We start from the raw sequence: 19,958 nt of genomic DNA on the forward strand, positions 1-19,958 counted from the left end.
CAGATCTTACCCAAACCACCAGGGTGGTACCTCTGTGAGTCTGCAGAAGCCACAGCATTACTGGGCTTAGGGTGTCCCCTAAAGCAGATATGGCTGCAGTGACTAAAGACTTAGATTACAACACTCAAGTCCCTTTGAATACCTAGAAAGCCTTCCCAAGAAGGGTGGGTACAAAAAAGCCCAGACTGCAAAGACTACAGTAAATATCTAACTCTTCAATACCAGACATGAATGAACATCTGCAAACATCAAGACCATCCAGGAAAACATGACCTCACCAAAAAACTAAATAAGGCACCATGAGTAATCCTGGAGAGGCAGGGATATGTGGCCTCTCAGACACAGAATTCAAAATAGCTGTTTGAGGAAGCTCAACAAAATCCAAGATAACACAGAGAAGGAATTCAGGATCTTATCAGACAAATTTAACAAAGAGATTGAAGTAATTTAATAGAATCAAGCAGAAATTCTGGAGCTGAAAAGTGCAATTGACATATTGAAGAATGCATCAGAGTATCTTGATAGCAGACATGATCAAGCAGAAGAAAGAATTCACAAGCTTGAAGACAGGACATTTGAAAATACACAGAAGAGACAAAAGATAAAAGAATAAAATAGAATGAGTCACACCTACAAGATCTAGAGAATAGCCTCAAAAGAGCACATCTAAAACTATTGGCCTTAAAGAGAAAGGAGAGAGAGAGATCGGGGTAGAATGTTAATTCGAAGGGATTATAATGTAGAACTTCCCAAATCTAGGGAAAGATATCAATATTCAAGTATGAAAAGGTGATAGAATACCAAGCAGATTTAACCCAAATAATACTATCCCAAGACATTGAATAATCAAACTCCCAAAGGTCAAAGATAAAGAAAGAATCCTAAAGGCAGCAAAAGAAAAGAAACAACTAACATACAATGAAGCTCTAATACATCTGGCAGCAGACTTCTTTGTGGAAACTTTACAGGCCAGGAGAGAGTGGCATGACACATTTAAGGCGATGAAGGGAAAAACCTTTTATCCCAGAATAGTATATCCAGTGAAAATATCCTTCAGACATGAAGGAGAAATAAAAACTTTCCCAAACAAAAGCTGAAAGATCTCATCAACACCAGACCTGCCCTACAAGAAATGCTAAAAGGAGTTCTGAAAGAACCTGAAAGAAAAGGATATTAATGAGTAATAAGAAATCATCTGAAGATACAGAACTCACTGGTAATTGTAAGTACACAGAAAAACACGGAATATTATAACACTGTAATTGTCGTGTGTAAACTACTTATATCTTGAGTAGGAAGACTAAAAGATGAACCTGTCAAAAATAGTAACTATAACAACTTTTCAAGACATAGACAATATAAGATATAAATAGAAACAACAAAAAGTTAAAAAGCAGGGGGATTAAGTTAAAGTGTAGAGTTTCTATTAGTTTTCTCTTTGCTTGCTTGTTTGTTTTTGCAATCAGTGTTATCTTTTCATCAGTTTAAAAATAATGGGCTATACAGTATTATTTGAGAGCCTCACGGTAACCTCAAATAAAAAAAATACAACAGATACATAAAAAATAAAAAGCAATAAATTAAACATACCACCTGAGAAAATCATCTTCACTATTAAGGAAGGCAGGAAGAAAGGAAAGAAGAAGGAGAAGACCGCAAAACAACCAGGAAACAAATAACAAAATGGCAGGAGTAAGTCCTTATTTATCAATAATAACATTGAATATAAACAGACAAAACCCTCCAAAGACATAGAGTGGCTGAATGAACAACAACAAAAAAAAGAACCAACGATCTGTTGCCTAACAGAAATGCACTCAACTATAAAGACACACACAGACTGAAAATAAAGAAACAGAGAAAGCTATTCCATGCAAATGGAAACCAAAAGAAAAAGCAAGAGTAGCTATACTTATATAAGACAAAATATATTTCAAGACAAAAACTATAAAAAGAGACAAAAAAGGTCATTATATAATGATAAAGGTGTTAATTCAGCAAGAGGAAATAATAATTCTAAATATATATGCACCAAACACTGGAGCATCCAGATATATAAAGCAAATATTATTAGAGCTTAAAAAGAGAGATAGACCCAATACAATAATAGCTACAAACTTCAAAACCCCATTTTCAGATCTTCCAGAGAGAAAATCAACAAAGAAACCTCGGACTTAAACTGCACTATAAACCAAACCAAACGGACCTAATAAATATTTACAGAACATTTCATCCAACAGCTGCAAAATACACATTCTTCTCCTCAGCACATGAATCATTCTCAAAGATAGACCATAAGTCAAGCCACAAAGCAAGTCTTAAAAAATTGAAATCATATCAAGTATCTGACCACAATGGAATAAAACTAGAAATCAATTACAAGAGGAGTTTGTATCAAATTCCTCTTACTATTGATTGTTTGGAAACCATACAAGCACATGGAAATTAATGTGCTGAATGACCAGTGGGTCAATGAAGACATTAAGAAGAAAATTTAAATTTGTCTTCAAATAAATGAAAATGGAAACACAACATACCCAAACCTATGAGACACAGTGAAAGCACTACTAAGATGAAAGTTTATGGTAATAAGCACCAACATCAAAAAAGTAGAAAAACATCAAGCAAGGATGCAAGGATGGTTCAACATATGGATATCTAATGAAGCATCTTAAAGAACTAGAAAAGCAAAAGCAAACCAAATCTAAAATTAGTAGAAAAAAAGAAATAATAAGATCAGAGCAGAAATAAGTGAAATCAAAACAAAAAAAACAAAAGATCAACGCAACGAAAGTTGTTTTTTTTTTAAAGATAAGAAAAATCAACAAGACTTTAGCCAAGTTAACTAAGAAAAAAGAGAAATGGCCCAAATAAATAAAATCGGAAATGAAAAAGGAGATATTACAACCAATTCTGCAGGAATTCAAAGGATCTTTAGAGGCTACTATGAGCAACTATATGCCAATAAATTGAAAAATCTAGAAAAAATTGGATAAATTCCTAGACACATACAACCTACCAAGATTGAACCATGAAGAAGTCCAGAACCTGAACACAGCAATAACAAGTAACAACATTAAGCCATAATAAAAAGTCTCCCAAAAAAGAAACGTCAAGGACCTCTTGGCTTCAGTGCTGAATTTTACCAAACATTTAAATAAGAACTCATACCAATCCTACTCAGGCTATTCTTAAAAACAGAAGAGGAGGGACTTCTGTTCTCTGTTTGGAAGAGGAAATACTTCCAAACTCATTCTATGAGGCCAGTATTACCCCGATACCAAAACCAGACCAAGTGAGATCCAGGGATACAAGGAAGGTTCAACATATGCAAATCAATCAATGTAATATATCAAATAAACAGAATGAAGGACAAAAACCATATGACCATTTCAATTGGTGCTGAAAATGCATTTGATAAAATTCAAAATTCCTTCATGATAAAAAACCTGTGATAAAAGGAACGTTCCTTGGCACAATTAAAACCATATGCTACAGACTCACAGCTGGTATCATACTGAATGGGGAAAAACTGAAAGCCTTTCCTCTTAGATCTGGAATAAGACAAGGATGCCCACTTTCACCACTGTTATTCAACATAGTACTGGAAGTCCCAGGTAGAGCAATCAGACAAAGAAAAAAAATAAAGGGCATCTAAATTGGAAAGGAAGAATATAATATGATCTTATGTTTAGAAAAATCTAAAGAGTCCACCAAAAAAAAGATTAGAACTGATAAACACATTCAGTAGAGTTGCAGGATACAAAATTTAAAAAAATCAGTAGCATTTCTATATGCCAACAGTGAACAATCTGAATAAGAAATAAAGTAATCCCATGTACAATAATGACAAATAAAATAAAATACCCAGGAATAAACTTAACCAAAGAAGTGAAAGATAACTACAATGAAATCTATAAAGCATTGATGCAAGAAAGTGAAGAGGACACCAAAAAAATGGAGAGATATTCCATGTTAATGGATTGGAAGAATCAACATTAAAATGTCCATACTACCCAAAGCAATCTGCAGATTCAGTTCAGTCTCTCTCAAAATACCAATGATGTTCTTCACATATATAGAAACAATAATCCTAAAATTTATATGGAACCACAAAAGACCCAAAATAGCTAAAGCTATCCTGAGCAAAAAGAATAAAAGTGGAGGAATCCCATTACCTGGATTCAAATTTTATGACAGACCTATAGTAATCCAAAGAGTGTGATACTGGCATAAAAACAGACACATAGAACTTGGAACAGAATAGAGGACCAGAAATAAATCCATACATCTACAGTGAACTCATTTTTGACAAAGGTGCCAAGTACATACATTGGGGAAAGGACAGTCTCTTCAACAAATGATGCTGGGAAAACTGGATATCCAGATCCAGAAGAAAAAAAAATACAGACCTCTATCTCTCACTACATAAAAAATCAAAACAAAATGGATTAAAGACTTAATCTAAGACCTAAAACTATACAACTACTAAAAGAAAACATTAGGGAAACTCTCCAGGACCTTGGACTGGGCAAAGATTTCTTGAGAAATGCCCCACAAGCACAGGCAACAATGCAAAAATGGACAAATAGGATCACATCAAGCTAAAAGGCTTATGCACAACAAGGGAAACAATCAACACAGTGAAGAGACAACCCACAGAGTGGGAGAAAATACTTGCAAACTACTCATCCAACAAGGGATTAATAACCAGAATATATAAGGAGCTCAAACAACTCAACAGAAAAAAAAATCTAATAATGGGGAAAATATCTGAATATACATTTCTCGAAAGGAGACAAACAAATGGCAAGCAGGTATCTATGCAAAGGTGCTCAATATCATTGATCATCAGAGAAATGCAAACCAAAGCTACAATGTGATATCTCACCCCAGTTAAAGTGGTTTATATCCAAAAGATAAACAATAACAAGTGCTGGCGAGGATGTGGAGAAAAGGGAAGCCATGTACACTGTTGGTGGGAATATAAATTAGAACAGCTGCCATGGAGAACAGTTTGGAGGTTTCCCAAAAAACTAAAAGTAGAACAGCTACAGGACCCAGCAATCCCACCGCTAGGTATCTGCACTTCCATGTTTGTTGCAGCACTGCTCACAATGGCCAAAATGTGGAAGAAAGCTGTGTCTATCAACAGATGACTAGACAAAGAAAATGTGGTGCATATACACAATGGAGTACTATTCAGCCATAAAAAAGAATGAGATCCAGTTATGTGCTACAACATGGCTGGAACTGAGATCATTATGTTAAGTGAATTAAGCCAGGCTCAGAAAGACAAACTGTGCATGTTCTCACTTATTTGTGGGAGCCAAGAATTAACACAATTGAACAAATGGGGATAGAGAGTAGAATGATGGTTACCAAAGGCAGAGAAGGGTAATGGGGGTGGCAGAGGGCAGTGGGGATGGTTAATGGGTACAACAATATAATGAAATAGAATGAATAAGATCTAGTGTTTGATAGCATAACAGAGTAACTGTAGTGAACAATAATTTGTTGTACATTTAAAAATAACTAAAAGAGTGTAATTAGGTTGTTTGTAACACAGAGAAAGGATAAATGCTTGAGGTGATGGATACCCCATTTACCCTGAGTGATTATTACACACGCATGCCTGTATCCACATATCTCATGCGTCCTATAAATATATACATTTGCTATGTACCCGTAGAAGTTTTTTTAAAAATTACAAAAGACCTTGGTGTATAATTTTGTGGAAAGCAATTTTACCATATCCACAAACTAAATAATTTTCTAGGAAAATATAAATTACCAAAGATGGCTTTTGAGAAATAAGAAACACATAAAGTTTGATAACATTACAAAATTGAGAGTTACTTTTAAAATTCCCCTTAAAAGACTCCCTGTCAAGTGATGGATAAGTCTATGGTTTTAAATCACATTGAATGGTGATACCAAACCAGGCCTCAGGGAGCTGGGGCATTAACTCCCGTAGAGTGGTTCCCATCCCCAAAGACACAGCCCCTGCTGCTGCCGTGAGCACTTCCAACTGTGGGGTAGGCCGCTGTCACCTACATGTCACAGTCTAGAACGCTGAGGAACAGAGAGGTAAGTGACCCCACCCAGGCTGCTCAGCTGGTGAGAGCTGTGTGGGCAGTGGGACCCGGGCACACTTGGGATCACCATGTTCTACTGGTAACCCTGAAGAGATGGCTAAGGAAGGAGGATCAAGCCTCGGTCAGGAGATCAGAGGGCACTCAGAGATCTGCGTCAATGCCTTGGCTGTGCAGGTGGAGAAACTGAGGCCCAGATATGAGGACTGTCTACTCCTAGGTCACAGGACAAGCTGCAGGAGATGCCAGCATTGTGAAGTGCTCCATCCTCTAAGTCCCGCCAAGTTGATTTTCTCTCCCCAGAGTCGCACAGCGACCCCCATGGGCAAGGGCTTTCTGCCTCAGAGCCTTGCCGTCCATGCTGCATGCCAGAGGCCAGGTCTCACTTGGTCCTCATGTCACCCCAAGGCCACCGTGTGAACAGCCCCAGTGGGCACAAAGCCACCTCCAGCTGCAGAGCCTCGCTCCTTTCCATGTGCTGTCCAGAAACCCTGGACTTTCCAAGTCTCCAAAGGTCCCCCTTTTGATGCACAGAGTCTAAAAATAAATGTAAAAGGCTCACTGGTGATTCTTACAGCACTACAAATTTATTTCATCATAAGACACCCTTAACAGTGAAATGCAAATTACAGAGTGGAAGAAGATTTTTGCAATACACATGCCTGACTAAAGCCTCAAATCCAGAATATAAAAAGAACTTGAAATCAGAAAGACAGGCAACTGAATGCAAGAAGGAGCAAAAAACCTGAAGAGATGGCTTTGAGAACTGGGCCTCTCACAGGGCTCATGAGCCCATGAACAGGTGCTTGGCGTCCTCACTCCCCAGGGAAGAGCAGCTTCAGGCCACCACACTTCAGAATGGCTCTAATTAAACAAACAAACAAACAGAACCCATGGGGGAATGCTGAGCAGTCGAAATTCTCATACAGTATTGATGGGAATGTAAATTGTTAGAGCTGCTTTGGAAAACACTTTGGCAGGGTTTTCTTAAAACCGAATATTTTCATATTCTATGATGCACAAATTGCATGTGTATAAATATATAAATATTTCCAATAGAAATGCATCCATATATGCACCAAAAGGTGTGCTGATAATGTGCATAAATCATAAATGTAATAGCCCCCAACTACTAACTAACCCAACACCTGTGGACCCATCGAGTTGCCCGTATCCATCAGATGGGTCTATTCACACATCGGAATACTATACAGCCATGAACAGTCACAAACTGCAGTTACCCACAGTGAGAAGGATACAATAAAGGCCCAACACAGCACAAAACACTCCACAAACTGCAGTTACGCACAGTGAGGATACAATAAAAGCTCAACACAGCACAAAACTCTCCATGTCATTCACTTTATAAGAAGCTTTGAAACAGGCAATACTCACTTTGGTGATGGACATCAGACTAGGGGTTAGTTTTAAGAAGAACATAAGGAGGTTTCTGGAAAACTGGAAATGCTCTGCCTTTTCCTGTGTGCTGGTTACATGGATGTATTCACTTTGCGAACACTCGCTGGGCCGGACGCTGTGCTTTATGTCACTTCTTGAATGTGTGATATATTTCATAAAAATAACATAAAAGGCTCACCAGCAATTTAAAAACAACTGATTTTTGCTAAAACCAGGAAAAAACTCCATTGAAGTCCCCTCCCCTTGGAAAAAAGAATAAGCTCATCTTTTTGAGTTTGAAACAACAGAAGTAACAAACCCTGCAGTTGTGCTTGCAGAATACGTTTGTTTCTGACCTGAACTCATACTTTGTCCCAGGCATTTAATTAAAATACACAGGCAGAGCTGAGTGTTGCTCAGCAGAGAGGGACAAGTCCCAGAGCATCACCTCCTTGTGCCTTTGGGTGTGTTTGTGCCTGTGCTTAGGGGTGAAGGGAGGAAGGAAATAGCTTGAATTAAGCACCTGAGAGACTGGGAATACTAGCAAGGTCGAGAACAAAGCAATAGCTTTTGGACTGCTCTCATCAGACTGAAACATGGGGGTTCCAGCTTGTACGTGGGCACCGCACCCTGCACCACGCTGGTGAGGGAGCCACAGTGTGCCCTGACAACAGCCCTGCTTCTGCCCGCCTCTATGCCTCCTAGCAGCAGGGCAAGCCTCCTCTGCAAGCATCTGCTGGCCTATTGATGGGAGAGGACGGGCAGGCTGGCAGTGCCACTGCTGAGAACCTCAGTGAAACAGGAGGGGATTTTGGCTGCAGCATGGTGTTTGAAAGCCCTATTTCTATTCTTTATCATTTTTTATTGTTTCTATTTGTTAGAAGTAAAGGATCTAATCTGAGCAAATAGACTTCAGATTGGAAACGGGGAATTTTCTGGGCAGCCCAGTGGGTCCCTGCCCCTCCAGCTCTGGGAGATGCCCCACCCGTCAGAGAAATGCAACAAACAGAGAGGCCACATGGGGTCCCGTGACAGAGGCCATGTGAGAGACAAGAACCCCAGGTGTTGACAGGGACATGCAACACAGCAGTGACCGTGTGTGCCAGGGATGGTCAGCGGTGACCGTGTGTGCCAGGGGCGGTCAGCGGTGACCGTGTGTGCCAGGGGCAGTCAGCGGTGACCGTTTGCGCTGAGGACGGTCAGCAGCATCTATTGGATTCCCTCCCTCTTGGGGCTGGTGTGAGCAGCCATTCCCTGAGCAGCCCTGTCCCGCACACAGGCAGCTGCCCACAGAGAACACGCTGGCACCAGGAGGGATGAATGCAGAGGAGAATCATGAAGCGCTGCATGTGGTCAGACAAGCAAGTCTTCCTGGCGCTGACCAACGCCTTGAAAGACGGATGTGGGGTGTAGGGAAGTGTGAATGTGTGAGAGTTGGGGAGCCCGTGGAAGGGGTGAGACGTGGCAGTACCCTGTACCTTCCATCAGAGGCACTCAGCGGACATCCCCACTGCAGCCAGCCTGGTCTGCCACCGAGGGGCACCCAGCACCACCGCCGGCTCAGCAGCCTCAGGACAGGGGTGCTCAGCCCTGGCTGCACACTGGGGTCATCTGGGAAGCTTAGAACAATCTGCTGACCCCTGAGTCCCAGCCCCAGCGGGCTTGGCTCAGCCCGTCCAGGTTTCAAGCGCTCCCAGGCAGATTGCACACCCAGCCCAGGCCAGAGCCACTGCATGGGAGGAATCTGCACTTAGAACAGCACAGTGTTGATATCTGAGGGACCCAGGGGCTGCCAACTCGGAGGAAAACATGCCCTGAGGCTGCATCAGCCACTGCCCCACATCCATTTGAACAATGTGGCACCTGACCCACCACCTCCAACTCCAGCCCCAGGCCTGGTCCAGCTCCAGCACCTCCCTCAGCCCCCACCCAGCCTGTGTGGCCTCCCAGTGAACACTTCAGGTTAGCTCCTCCGCAGGCTCCCCATGGTCAGCCACTCAGAGCCTGGCCCTGGGGGTGGGGCTTGGTCCTCCCCATGCCAACAGCATGATCTACATCCAGGGCCTGCCCTGCTGCCCCCGACAGGCCAAGGTGACGAGGGCTGCAAAAGCCACCTGAGCAGGGGAGTGGGCGAGGGGGATTGCTTTTCCACCCTCATGTGTTCTGAGGTCTGGGATGAGCCTGAGCAACAGAGAGGCCACTGGGAGACCAGCTGGTGTCCACAGGGGTGGGTGAGCCACCGAGAGGCCACTGGGAGATTGGCTGGTGTCCAGAGGGGTGGGTGAGCCACAGAGAGGCCACTTGGAGACAGGCTGGTGTCCAGAGGGGTGGGTGAGCCATAGAGAGGCCACTGGGAGACCGGCTGGTGTCCAGAGGGGTGGGGGAGCCATAGAGAGGCCACTGGGAGACCGGCTGGTATCCAGAGGGGTGGGCGAGCCACCAAGAGGCCACTGGGAGGCCGGCTGGTATCCAGAGGGGAGGGTGAGCCACTGGGATGCCCACCCTGAGATGGCAGAAACTGAAAGGCACGGACAGATGGGAACCCTGGCACAGTAAGGAAGGTTTTTAAATGTGTTTTTGTCAGGGACAGCAAAGTCCCCTTCAGGCCCATGTGCAGCCATGGGCAAGGCACCGCCCAGTACAACCTGCAGCTCCGTTGGCCCTGCCAGGCAGGGCTTCTTGGTTTTAAGGACCAATGAGCTTAAGAATCCAAGAATCCAATGGATCTTTTTCTAGTTGACCAAATGTTGTCATTAAAGTATAGTTGATTTGTATTTCAAGACAACCAGAAAAGGTTAGCAGTTACTTTAAAAGATTAGAAACTGGCCAGGTGCCATGGCTCACACCTGTAATCCCAGCACTTTGGGAGACTGAGGTGGGCGGATCACATGAGGTCAGGAGTTCGTGAACAACCTGGACAACATGGTGAAACTGCATCTCTACTAAAAACAGAAAATTAGCCGGATGTGGTGGCGTGTGCCTGTAATCCCAGCTACTCGGGATGCCAAGGCAGGAGAATCACTTGAACCCAGGAGGCGGAGGTTGCAGTGAGCCGAGATTACACCATTGCACTCCATCCTGGGTGACAGAGCAAGAGTCTGTCTCGAAAAAAAAAAAGACTAGAAACGGAAAGCCTATGCATTCTGGGATCATTTCGATAGCTCGTTCCTGGAGAAGTTTCTCTGAGCACCAGAAGCCACAAGGAGCAGGCCCAGCATTCCCTCCCGAGCAGGCCCAGCGTTCCCTCCCGAGCAGGAGCCGTCGTCTGTGTTGCTTCCCTGCAAGTACCATTCGCCACTGATGACCATTCTTCTGTTCCTCTGGGAGAGTAAGAGGGAGAGGATGTAGTCTGAGAGGTTTATCTTACTTGTTAAAAAAAAAATGACCAGAAACGGAAAATATCATCACCCCAACGGCCTCTTCAGCCTTGCTTCTGTGGACACAGAAGACAATGGTTTGCTAGGGTTAAACTTGAGTAATTTCGCTCACTTGCTTTTTGCCAGAGAATAGCACTTTCTTAATTAAGAGATGAACCCCCTAGGCCTGGCTGCCAAGGTTTTTATTTTTCATCCAAGTTCATCACCGAGTGCCTGGTTGACAAGCGCCCTGGAGGCAGGAGGCCAGAGGTCTGATCTCCACGCAGGTGCAGCCACGGCGTGGGCGGGCTGACGGGTGGGGTGAGCTGAGGTCCTTCCCTCCTGGGGTTCCAGGAGGAAACACGTAGCCCTGCCCAGAGTGATGGGAGCAGGGCCTTTACTAAGGTGCTGCAGTCGGGTGTGGGGGGTCAGGAGGGGCCCCGGGAACTCAGGTTCTGAAGGGGTGGGGGCCGTTGTCCTCTCTGAACTGACCGGCCAGTGGAGGGGCTCCTGGCGGGCCATGTGAGGAGGGGGCTGCTGCACCATGGCCAGGGAATGGCCACAGCCTGCCCGAGCCCCCTCCGGCCCCCTGTCATCTGTCACAGCCGGAGTCTCTGCTGCCACGGCTCTGGCATTTGGACCGGGTCCACAGCATCTACAGGCCCTCGGATGCTGGACAGTGTGGAATAGCTGGAACAGCTGTGCCCCACGCTGGGGAACGGAGGGCCTGGTGAGACAGCCCCCTGCTCTCCACGGGCCTCACACACCTGGCCTGGCTCTGGCCAGCTGGATCCCACGGGCGGAAGGCCTGGCCAGGTCCTGCCTCTGGGGCCCCCTCAGCCCAGGCTGATGTCTCAGGGTGACCCAGTTCCTCTTCTCGAGTCCCGAGTCCCGAATCCAGCACGCCCCATGGAGTGGCTGCCCACAGGCCCCAGTCACGTCGCCCCTCTGGCTAGAGCCGCTTGCAGCCTGAGTGAGCCAGGCCGAGGGCCAGTGGCCTGCCCGCCTCCCCACCACAAGCACAGGCAGGGGAAGGAAGGGCTCCCAGTACCCCCTGGGGCATGTGAGCAGGAGCCCCCTGGCTCTCCCAGGCCCAGTGCCCTCCAGCTAAGCCTTTGCTTCCAGTAGGAACTGAGCTGGGGGACGAGCCCCTCTCCGCCACCACACCCTGGAGGCGTCGAGGGTCCATCACTGGCCCCTCCAAGGTCAGACTCGGGCCTTTCCCCACAGATGGGAGGGCTTCACTGTAGCTCCTCACTGGGCTTCCCACGGTCAGCTGCTCAGAGCCTGGCCCTGGGGGTGGGGCTCGGAACTCCCCACGACAACAGTGTGAGAGGCCGAGGGTGAGCTTGTTTCGTGACATGAAGACCACAGTGAGGATTTGGCAGGAAACACGGTGCGGCCACACAGTGGAACGTGGACCTCTACGGTGACTCTGTGAGTGAAGGCAGAAGGAGGGAATGAATGAAGTGAGCTTCAGGGGGACGCCAAGCCGCTGCCAAGCCCGGAATCTTCCACGGGCACAAAGCCCAGGGAACACAAACCACGTCTGCCCAGAAAATGCCCCGTGTCCTTGGGAGGAGAGGTCCACTGCCGCCAGCTCTGAACCCAGACACGCTGAGGGAAATATTGACAGACCTCTATACCTCTTGAATCTTAACAACTTGCGGAGGCTGAAAGATCTCTTCAAAGTGAATATTTCAGGTGAAAAGACAAGTGAGGCAGCGGGCAAGGAAATATTTGTGACATTAAACACAAAAGATTCGCATCTGGAATGCATAAGCCCGTCACGTCCCTAAGCAAAGACCAATGGCTCAAAGGAAAGTGAGGCAGGCATCCAGCGTCCAGTGATCATCCAGAGATGCTGGGCTGGCCGGGGAGCAGGGCACACAGGGGAGGCGACAGTGGGCGGCAGGGGAAGGAGTATGGAGGCCGAGATCATCCAGAGATGCTGGGCTGGCCGGGGAGCAGGGCACGCAGGGGAGGCAACAGTGCGTGGCAGGGGCAGGAGTATGGAGGCCGAGGGTGTTGGGATGGGATGCCTGGTCCTGTCAGAAGCATGAGGGTGCACAGCCCGGAGAGGCAACGGCACAATCTGTCCAAATGATCCATGTCCTGCTGACATGGCTATGAACCCAGACATTCCAGTTTAGGAACATTTGTGGACACACACATTCCACCGTTTGCTGTGGCTGTGACCACTCGGGCATTACCCTGGGGACACAGCTGTGAGCAAAACAGACAAAATCCTCAACCTCACGGGGCTGACCATGGACAGAGCTTACATCAAAAGGTGCACGGGAAGCAACAAAAGTCAAACCTTGTCAATAGTGCAGCACTACTGATGCGCACACACATAGGAAAATACATCATGATCCGCATGTGGGGGCTGAAATGAAAGAGTTCCTTCTATTCTGACACACATCTCTAAATCACATTATTACCTTGAAAAGCCAGCATATATATGTGTTAAACTAAGGTTATATTTATATGCACACAACCTTAAACATATGCAAATGTGTCAGAAAAAAAGAGAAAACCTCATTGTTAAGGGTGATTGCTCTGAAAAGAGAGCAGAGCAGACGGGCCCTGTGAGTTCTGCCCTGTACTTCAGCATCGCTTTGGTTTCTGTAGTGAGCACATGGCCCCCCACAGCCCTTAGCCTTCTCCCCAACAGCTGGGCATTGATTCCCAATCTGAACAGAGGGTCTCAGCCGTGCTGTGGGTTCTAGCACCAGTCGCCAGGCCTCTCCTTTCCCCTTCCTTCTCTTTCTCCCCATTTCTCCTCCCTCTCCCTCTTCCCCTGTTCTCTCTCCCCAGCCCTCCCTTCCTCCCTGTCTCATTTCGTGGGTGCCTCCCAGGGCCAGGCCCTATGTCTCACGATAGGACCCTGAGACAAATAGGCCCAGGTCAGTGCAGGAGACAGGCAGGGACCTTACCACTGGCAATGGGGTCTGCCTGGGGCAGGGGCAGCCTTCACCTCAGCCTCTAGGACAAGGTGCTCCAAGGAGGACAAAACGGGACCTAAGTCAGGTGGGATGGCAAGGCCCCAACACTCCTTCTGACCTCAGCGCTGAGTGCTGGGAGGTGCAGGTGCTGGGCTGTAGGCCTGGGGGCTGGTCTCCAGCACGTCTTTCAGTAGCCTTGCTTTTTAACTTAACTACCTTGAGTCGTCATTTAATTAACAGACGGTAATCGGTTATGGTGGGAATTGGTTTTAGCCCGAACAATCTAACTTTGAGCAGAGAGTGCTATTTTGTGTTGGTCAGAATGTAATCCCCTTAGACTGTGGCTGTGATTAATGGAAGACGGTGAGGGAGAGGCTGGATGAGCCCCTAGGGAGGATCGGGCAGTAGTGAGGCTGCTGCAGTTTCAAGATATCCTAGCTAAGCATGCCAGTGTTTCGTGGAGTTTCCGCGACACCGTGGGCTTCAGAAACCACACTTTGTTCTAGCATTTTCCACATCTGTGAATGCCCTTATCAGGGCCTATTGTGACTCCTGGATCAGATGATTTCATGCCAGGGAGCAGTAGCAGAAGGAGGTTAGTGCACCTCCAGCTAAAGACTGGCCTTGCAGAGCCTCGGTGTGAGCTAAGCAGCCACTGTGGCTGGGGTGACTGGGTGGTCACTTGGTCTGGGTGGGCAGCTCCTACCCAGCCGCTCCTTTGGCCTGCAGAGCTCAGGCTGGCCAGCTCTTCAGGACAGTGGTGTGTGCCAGCAGGGCAATGTAGGATGAGCCCCTTTCTGGAAGTCTGTCCTTCTGCCCTCCCGGCAGACTGAGCTGGAGGCCTGCAGTGCCCAGGGCCAGCTATGGTCAGCAGGAGGAACTGCTCCAGCTGCATCTCAGCATCCTCCCTGCCCAGTGAGGCAAGGGCCACTCCCCGGCCTGAAAAGATCTGACATGGACCAGGCTGAGTCACGGGAGGTCCTGAGCTGTGGGGCCGTGTCCAGGGAGGCTGTGGTCAGCTCTGTTCTCCAGTGGCCTGAGCTTTGGACCTAATGCCCTGGGGCCAGGCTGTGCTGAGCAGGTCTGGCTTTGGTTCCTGTGCTCCATCCTAAGATCTAAGCATGGTGGGGAGTTCTGGAGAAGCAGGACCTAACCTTGCTGGGATGACCCAGTCTCCAGGGCTCAGTTTCAGGCTGCCCTCCTAGGAAGACTTCTCACTGGACTGCCAGCCGGGGGCTAGGGGCGCAGTCCGTGATCTACACTCCCCCACTGGGTGCCACGGTGCCGGCTGTGGCTCTGGTCCAGGGCTCCAGTAGCCTGTCTGGGTGGCAATAAGTCCTGCTGCTCTGGGACACACTCTCTCCGAGGCTTTGGCTGGAAACTGGAGATTGCAGCAGGTGCAGCTGACCGGGCAGAGGCAGCAGGCTCCCCACATACCCACGTGCAGGTCTCCAGGGTCCCGCCACCTGCCCCCAGGGGCTCTGAAAGCTTTTGGGAAAGATCCAGGGAGCTAAGCTGCCTGTCAGGGCTTTGAAGGAGTTGGTGCCATTTGCTAGTTCTCATTTTCAAAGCCAGCAAGGCTCCGACAGCCATGGGCAGGTCAGGTTTCATCCTAAGTGGAACTAGCTGGGCAGCCTGGTGCGATAAGAATGAGGTGCTGGTGGATGCTGAGCTGAGCCAGATCTGGTTTCTCATCCAGAGATAGAAGCCCATTGTTGGCCGCTCTCCCACGGTGTTTCCCAGGGAGAGCAGAGGCCTCCGGCGGGGAAGCAACACCCAGACCCAGGCCCAGTGAGCCGAGGGGGCTTCAGAAAGATGAGCCAAGTGGGGCAGGCTTGGTTTGATTCAGGGCTGGGAATGGGGGATACAGTGACCTTTGATGGCTTCTAGAAACAGAGCCAGGAGGCCGTGCCAAGGATAGAAGGCGCCGCCGTGCACCAAAGCTGTTCGTGCCTTCACTGCAGGGGCCAGAGACCAGTCAGGGCTGTCCACGGGGCAGTCACACGAGGAGGCCAAAGGCGTCCTCACTCCCTCCTCCTGCCTCCCCAACTGCACAGCCAGGCACAGGCCTGGACAAGGGTCTCAGCAAATGCTCGATAAGGGGCAGATTTTTCAAAATGAATGATTCCATTTGCAAGTGGACAGTTTAGTGACATTAAATGCACTCAGTGTTGTGCAGCCGTCACCACTATCGGTGCCTAAAACCCTTTCCATATTTCCTAACAAATGCTCTGCCCCTGTTAAACATGAACTCCCCAGTCCCCATCCCCCCAGCCCCCTGCCAACAACCCTTCTACTTTCTGTCTCTATGAATCTGACTTCTCCAGGCACCTCATGTAAGTGGCATCTTACAGTGTGTGTCTTTTTATGACTGGCCCATTTCACTTGGCATCATGTCTTCAAGGTTCACCCACGTTGTGACCTGTGTCCAAATTTCTTCTTTTGTGGCTGATGTCCTATTGCATGGATGCACCAGGTTTTGTTTTTCCGTGCACCCAGTGACATGTGGGTTGTCTCCACCGTTTGATGATTTCCAACAGTGCTATGAACAAGGGGGTGCAAATATCTCTTGCCAACGCTGTTTCCAATCCTTTGGGCTGTAGACCCAAAAGTAGAATTCCTGGGTCGTGTGGTAATTCCGATCAATTGAACAATGTGTCTCTCAGAGGTATTCAATGGAAGAATTTGTCCCTGGATGTTTTTACTAAAACTTACTAAAGCCAAAAGCCAAAACATCATATTAGTTAACAGAAAATTGCTCTGACATATGCGGAATAACCGGGAATAGAAAGCATTCTTTCCAAAGCGATCACACCAGGTAAATTCAGCCACATATGAGTCTAACTCTTCACCGTGAACACCTCTCATGCCCTTGAATTGTGTTTCACATCTGTTCCAACGGACTGGATGTTTTGAGCATGCACACCGAGAGATAACATGAAACAGCAGATTTTTCCAAAAAAGACTCCTTTTGAAGCGAGATCCATGATGATTGACAATTGTAGCAAACGCACTTCCAGGAATAGCCGTGTCTGCGTTGGCGTCTTACCATCCACCATAGGGGCTGGTGATGTGACGAACATCCAGGAGCCATAGACAGCAGATTACACGGCTCCAAGAAGTCAGCGGCTGGCGGATCTGAGGCACTGACCATCCCAGGCTGCAGGCTATCTTGACATAAATGTTTCTCCCCTGGGAGAAGTGGAATGAAAATCTTCTAAAAAATAACACCACTAAAAATAGGAAGTTTGAATCTGACCCACAGTGTTGATCACACTTGAGGAATCTGACCCCCAGGACGCCCAGGGACAAGTTGTTCGATTGATCCGGTAACTCTGTTTAACCTTTGGAGACAATACCAAACTTGACAGCGGCTGCACCGTTTGGCACTCCCACCAGCAGCGCACCCAGGTTCCAGCTCCTCCACACCCTTGAGACTCTTGCTTCCTGAGGTTTTGACTCCAACCATCCCGGTGGATGAAGCGGAATCTCATTACAGTTTTCATTCCCATTTCCCTGCTGACCGATGATGTTGAGTGCTTTCCCTGTGCTCATGGGCCGTGTGAGCGTCTCCTTTGGAGACTGTCTATTGAAGTCCTTTGAAGTGGCATGTTATTTGACTCGAATGTTCTGACTCACCTGGAACCACTGCAGACACCACCCACCCCAGCCCCCACAGTGGCCAGCAGTGTCGCCAACCCTCAGGGCCACTGTTGGGAACTTGGCTGGGGTCCAGCGGGGTGAAGGGAGAGAGTGCCCCCGGCTGTTCTGATCCACCCCCAGCACCTTTCCCGGCAGCCCCCCTACCCGAGGTCCTGAGCTGCTCGGTGACTCCCAGCAGCGTCGAGAACACAAGGCCCGAGCTTTCTCACGGTTTGAGTTACAAACCCGGGCGGGGTTAGTGATGGGATTAACTAAATGGATCAGAAATTACCCCTCTCTGTTTCTCCTTTCTTACCTTTCTTTCTGGCAAGCACCTACTCTTCAGAACCATCAAGGTCTCCCCTCCTCCCCTCCTGGGACCGGGTGCTCTCAAAACTACTGAACACCAATTAATTTGTCTCATTTACATGAAAAAGTGCAGAAGATGTCTTTTTACATAATTAACTATATTTTGCAAGTCATTAAAATTCTGCAGCCCTGCCCACAATAGCACCCTATTCACCGCCAGAGATAAGTGCTGGGGGTGGGGGGTGGAGGGGGTGAGCATAGGGGCCCACAAAGGAGCAGGCCTCACCAATGCATATTCATGAGAAGTGGCTGCCAGCTCGCTGGGCCCGTTCCCACTGCTGGGGCAGGGAGGGCCAGGAGGGCTGGGTGGGCTGCCCTGAAGACCACACCCTCCCGAGAGTGGGAGGGTCTTGCTCTGGGGCCACCCGTCTCTGCCCAGGCCCTGCCTTTGGCACCATCCCTGTGTCAGTGCAGAGGACCGGGGGGGCTCCGGGCTGAGGAGGGGCCACCTGCCTCTCTCCTGCCTCCCATCCACCTCTCTCCCTTGCCACAGACCAGCCCAAAAGAGCTGCTTGTGGGTGATCCCCCTTCCCAAAGGAGTGGCCTTGTCCCAAAGGGACAGCTCCCTGTCCGGCGGGGTCTCACGCGTGCACTGTTGGGGACGGTCTGCTGGATGGAGTTGGAGGCCACGACCCCTCCTGCATGGATCCCACTTGCCCTGCACCTGGCAGTGCCAGCACCATCTCTGCAGAGCATGTCAGGTGAGGTGGGGGCTTCAAGCAGGACCCCACCCTTGCAGCCAAGCTTCCCTGTCTCCTCCTGTGGGATGAAGCAACATCTGCCATCCTTGGGGCAGCTTCGCCATCACTAAGAAGTGTGTGTCCCTGCAGCAGTGGGCACCCTTGCTACCCGACGCGCAGGCGCCCTCCTCCAGGCTCACAGGAGCATAAGCTAAGCCAGCAAGGAGGCGGTGAGTGGCTCCCAGGACACAGCAAGCGAGGACACGGGCTTGGCATCTGCCCCTCAGGCCAAGCCTTCCACAGCCTCGCTGCTCATGTGCTGACGGCCCACTCTCTGAGTCAGGTGCTCAATCTCCTTTCAACAGATTGACTGTGAGCCCTGAGCAGGGCTGGCAGACTGGGCCCCAGGGCTCCCTCTGTCTTCAGGGAACCAGGAGGGAGGCCTGGGTCGAAGCCTGCCTACCGCACAGGCTCCTCTGAGCTTCTCAGTGCTCCCCCATCTCTAGGAAAGGGTGTCTGTCCTCAGGCACAAAAGCCATGAGGCCGGGGCTCATTCCTCCCCAGCTCCCACTGCCAGTCACCCCTTGGGAGTTACCCACCCCTGCAGCATCTTCTCTCTCAGGGGCTCCTCCTGCTCCACATGGGGGCCTGGCAGGCTACCCCTTCTCTGTGCCCAGCCTGGGCCCACAGTGTGCTCAGACAGCAGGCATGGACCTGGCCTCGGGGTCTCTCGGGAAGGGCTGCTCCTGGCTGGGGTCCTAGCCCAGCTTCCAGGAAGGGTCTCTCTGGGGTGGTTCTGAGCCTGAGCCAGATCTGAGTAGACGGACTCAAGGACTTTCATGGGGCAGAAGAAGCCAATGACTGCCCAGGGAAAGCAGGAGCGCTGCCAAGCCAGTGAGGTCTGCAGGGTGATGGACGTGGAGGGGCTGGGAGTGGGAGAGGGGCCACACCTTCTCTGCGGGTGCTCTCTTCCTGGGGGAAAGCCTGCAGCAGGATGAGAACAAAGGAAGAAAGAGCTTCTTAAACAGGAAACCCTGGAAGAGCCAGTCCTTGAAGATGGACCCCGCATGGCTAACTGGGCCTAATTTCAAAACAGAGCCAAGAGACCATCTGCTGACTAAAGGCCACACACATACTGTGCGCTCCCAGAAAACCCCACACTCACAGCACTCTGGGGCTTCCATAGCTGCCTGTTCCTGTCCACCACTCCTGGGAAATCCATCTGGACCCAACCATGGGCTGTCGCCTGTGCCAACCAATCAGAGCTCAGCAAGTTTGTATCCCGCATTTTCATAGTGGACCAGAGTGGGAACCTGGGTGGGAACTTTATAAATGACGTCCCCTCTCTTTCTTCTCTCAGAACACACTTTTGTTTCATGCCAAAGGCTACGTCTCCCTGGTTTGCAGACTGCTCAATGGAATAAAGTCTTTCTTTTTCTGAAAGAAAAACCTTTTCAGGGGATTTGCCTA

General features: G+C 48.8%; 1 pseudogene, besides 3 other annotated features; it reads left to right on the forward strand.

The window, feature by feature from the left end:
• Positions 8,776-9,275: an enhancer, noted in NCBI's record as "H3K4me1 hESC enhancer chr2:241226785-241227284 (GRCh37/hg19 assembly coordinates)". NCBI's record gives its function as "activates a minimal SCP1, AML or CMV promoter by ChIP-STARR-seq in naive H9 embryonic stem cells {active_cell/tissue: H9 hESC(naive)}" and the evidence as "EXISTENCE:reporter gene assay evidence [ECO:0000049][PMID:30033119]".
• On the forward strand, positions 10,624-10,851 carry LOC124906196 (uncharacterized; annotated as a pseudogene).
• Positions 12,315-13,291: an enhancer, noted in NCBI's record as "H3K4me1 hESC enhancer chr2:241230324-241231300 (GRCh37/hg19 assembly coordinates)". NCBI's record gives its function as "activates a minimal SCP1, AML or CMV promoter by ChIP-STARR-seq in naive H9 embryonic stem cells {active_cell/tissue: H9 hESC(naive)}" and the evidence as "EXISTENCE:reporter gene assay evidence [ECO:0000049][PMID:30033119]".
• Positions 14,267-15,242: an enhancer, noted in NCBI's record as "H3K4me1 hESC enhancer chr2:241232276-241233251 (GRCh37/hg19 assembly coordinates)". NCBI's record gives its function as "activates a minimal SCP1, AML or CMV promoter by ChIP-STARR-seq in naive H9 embryonic stem cells {active_cell/tissue: H9 hESC(naive)}" and the evidence as "EXISTENCE:reporter gene assay evidence [ECO:0000049][PMID:30033119]".

This window comes from Homo sapiens, chromosome 2, assembly GCF_000001405.40.
Source record: "Homo sapiens chromosome 2, GRCh38.p14 Primary Assembly".
Lineage (NCBI taxonomy): Eukaryota > Metazoa > Chordata > Mammalia > Primates > Hominidae > Homo > Homo sapiens.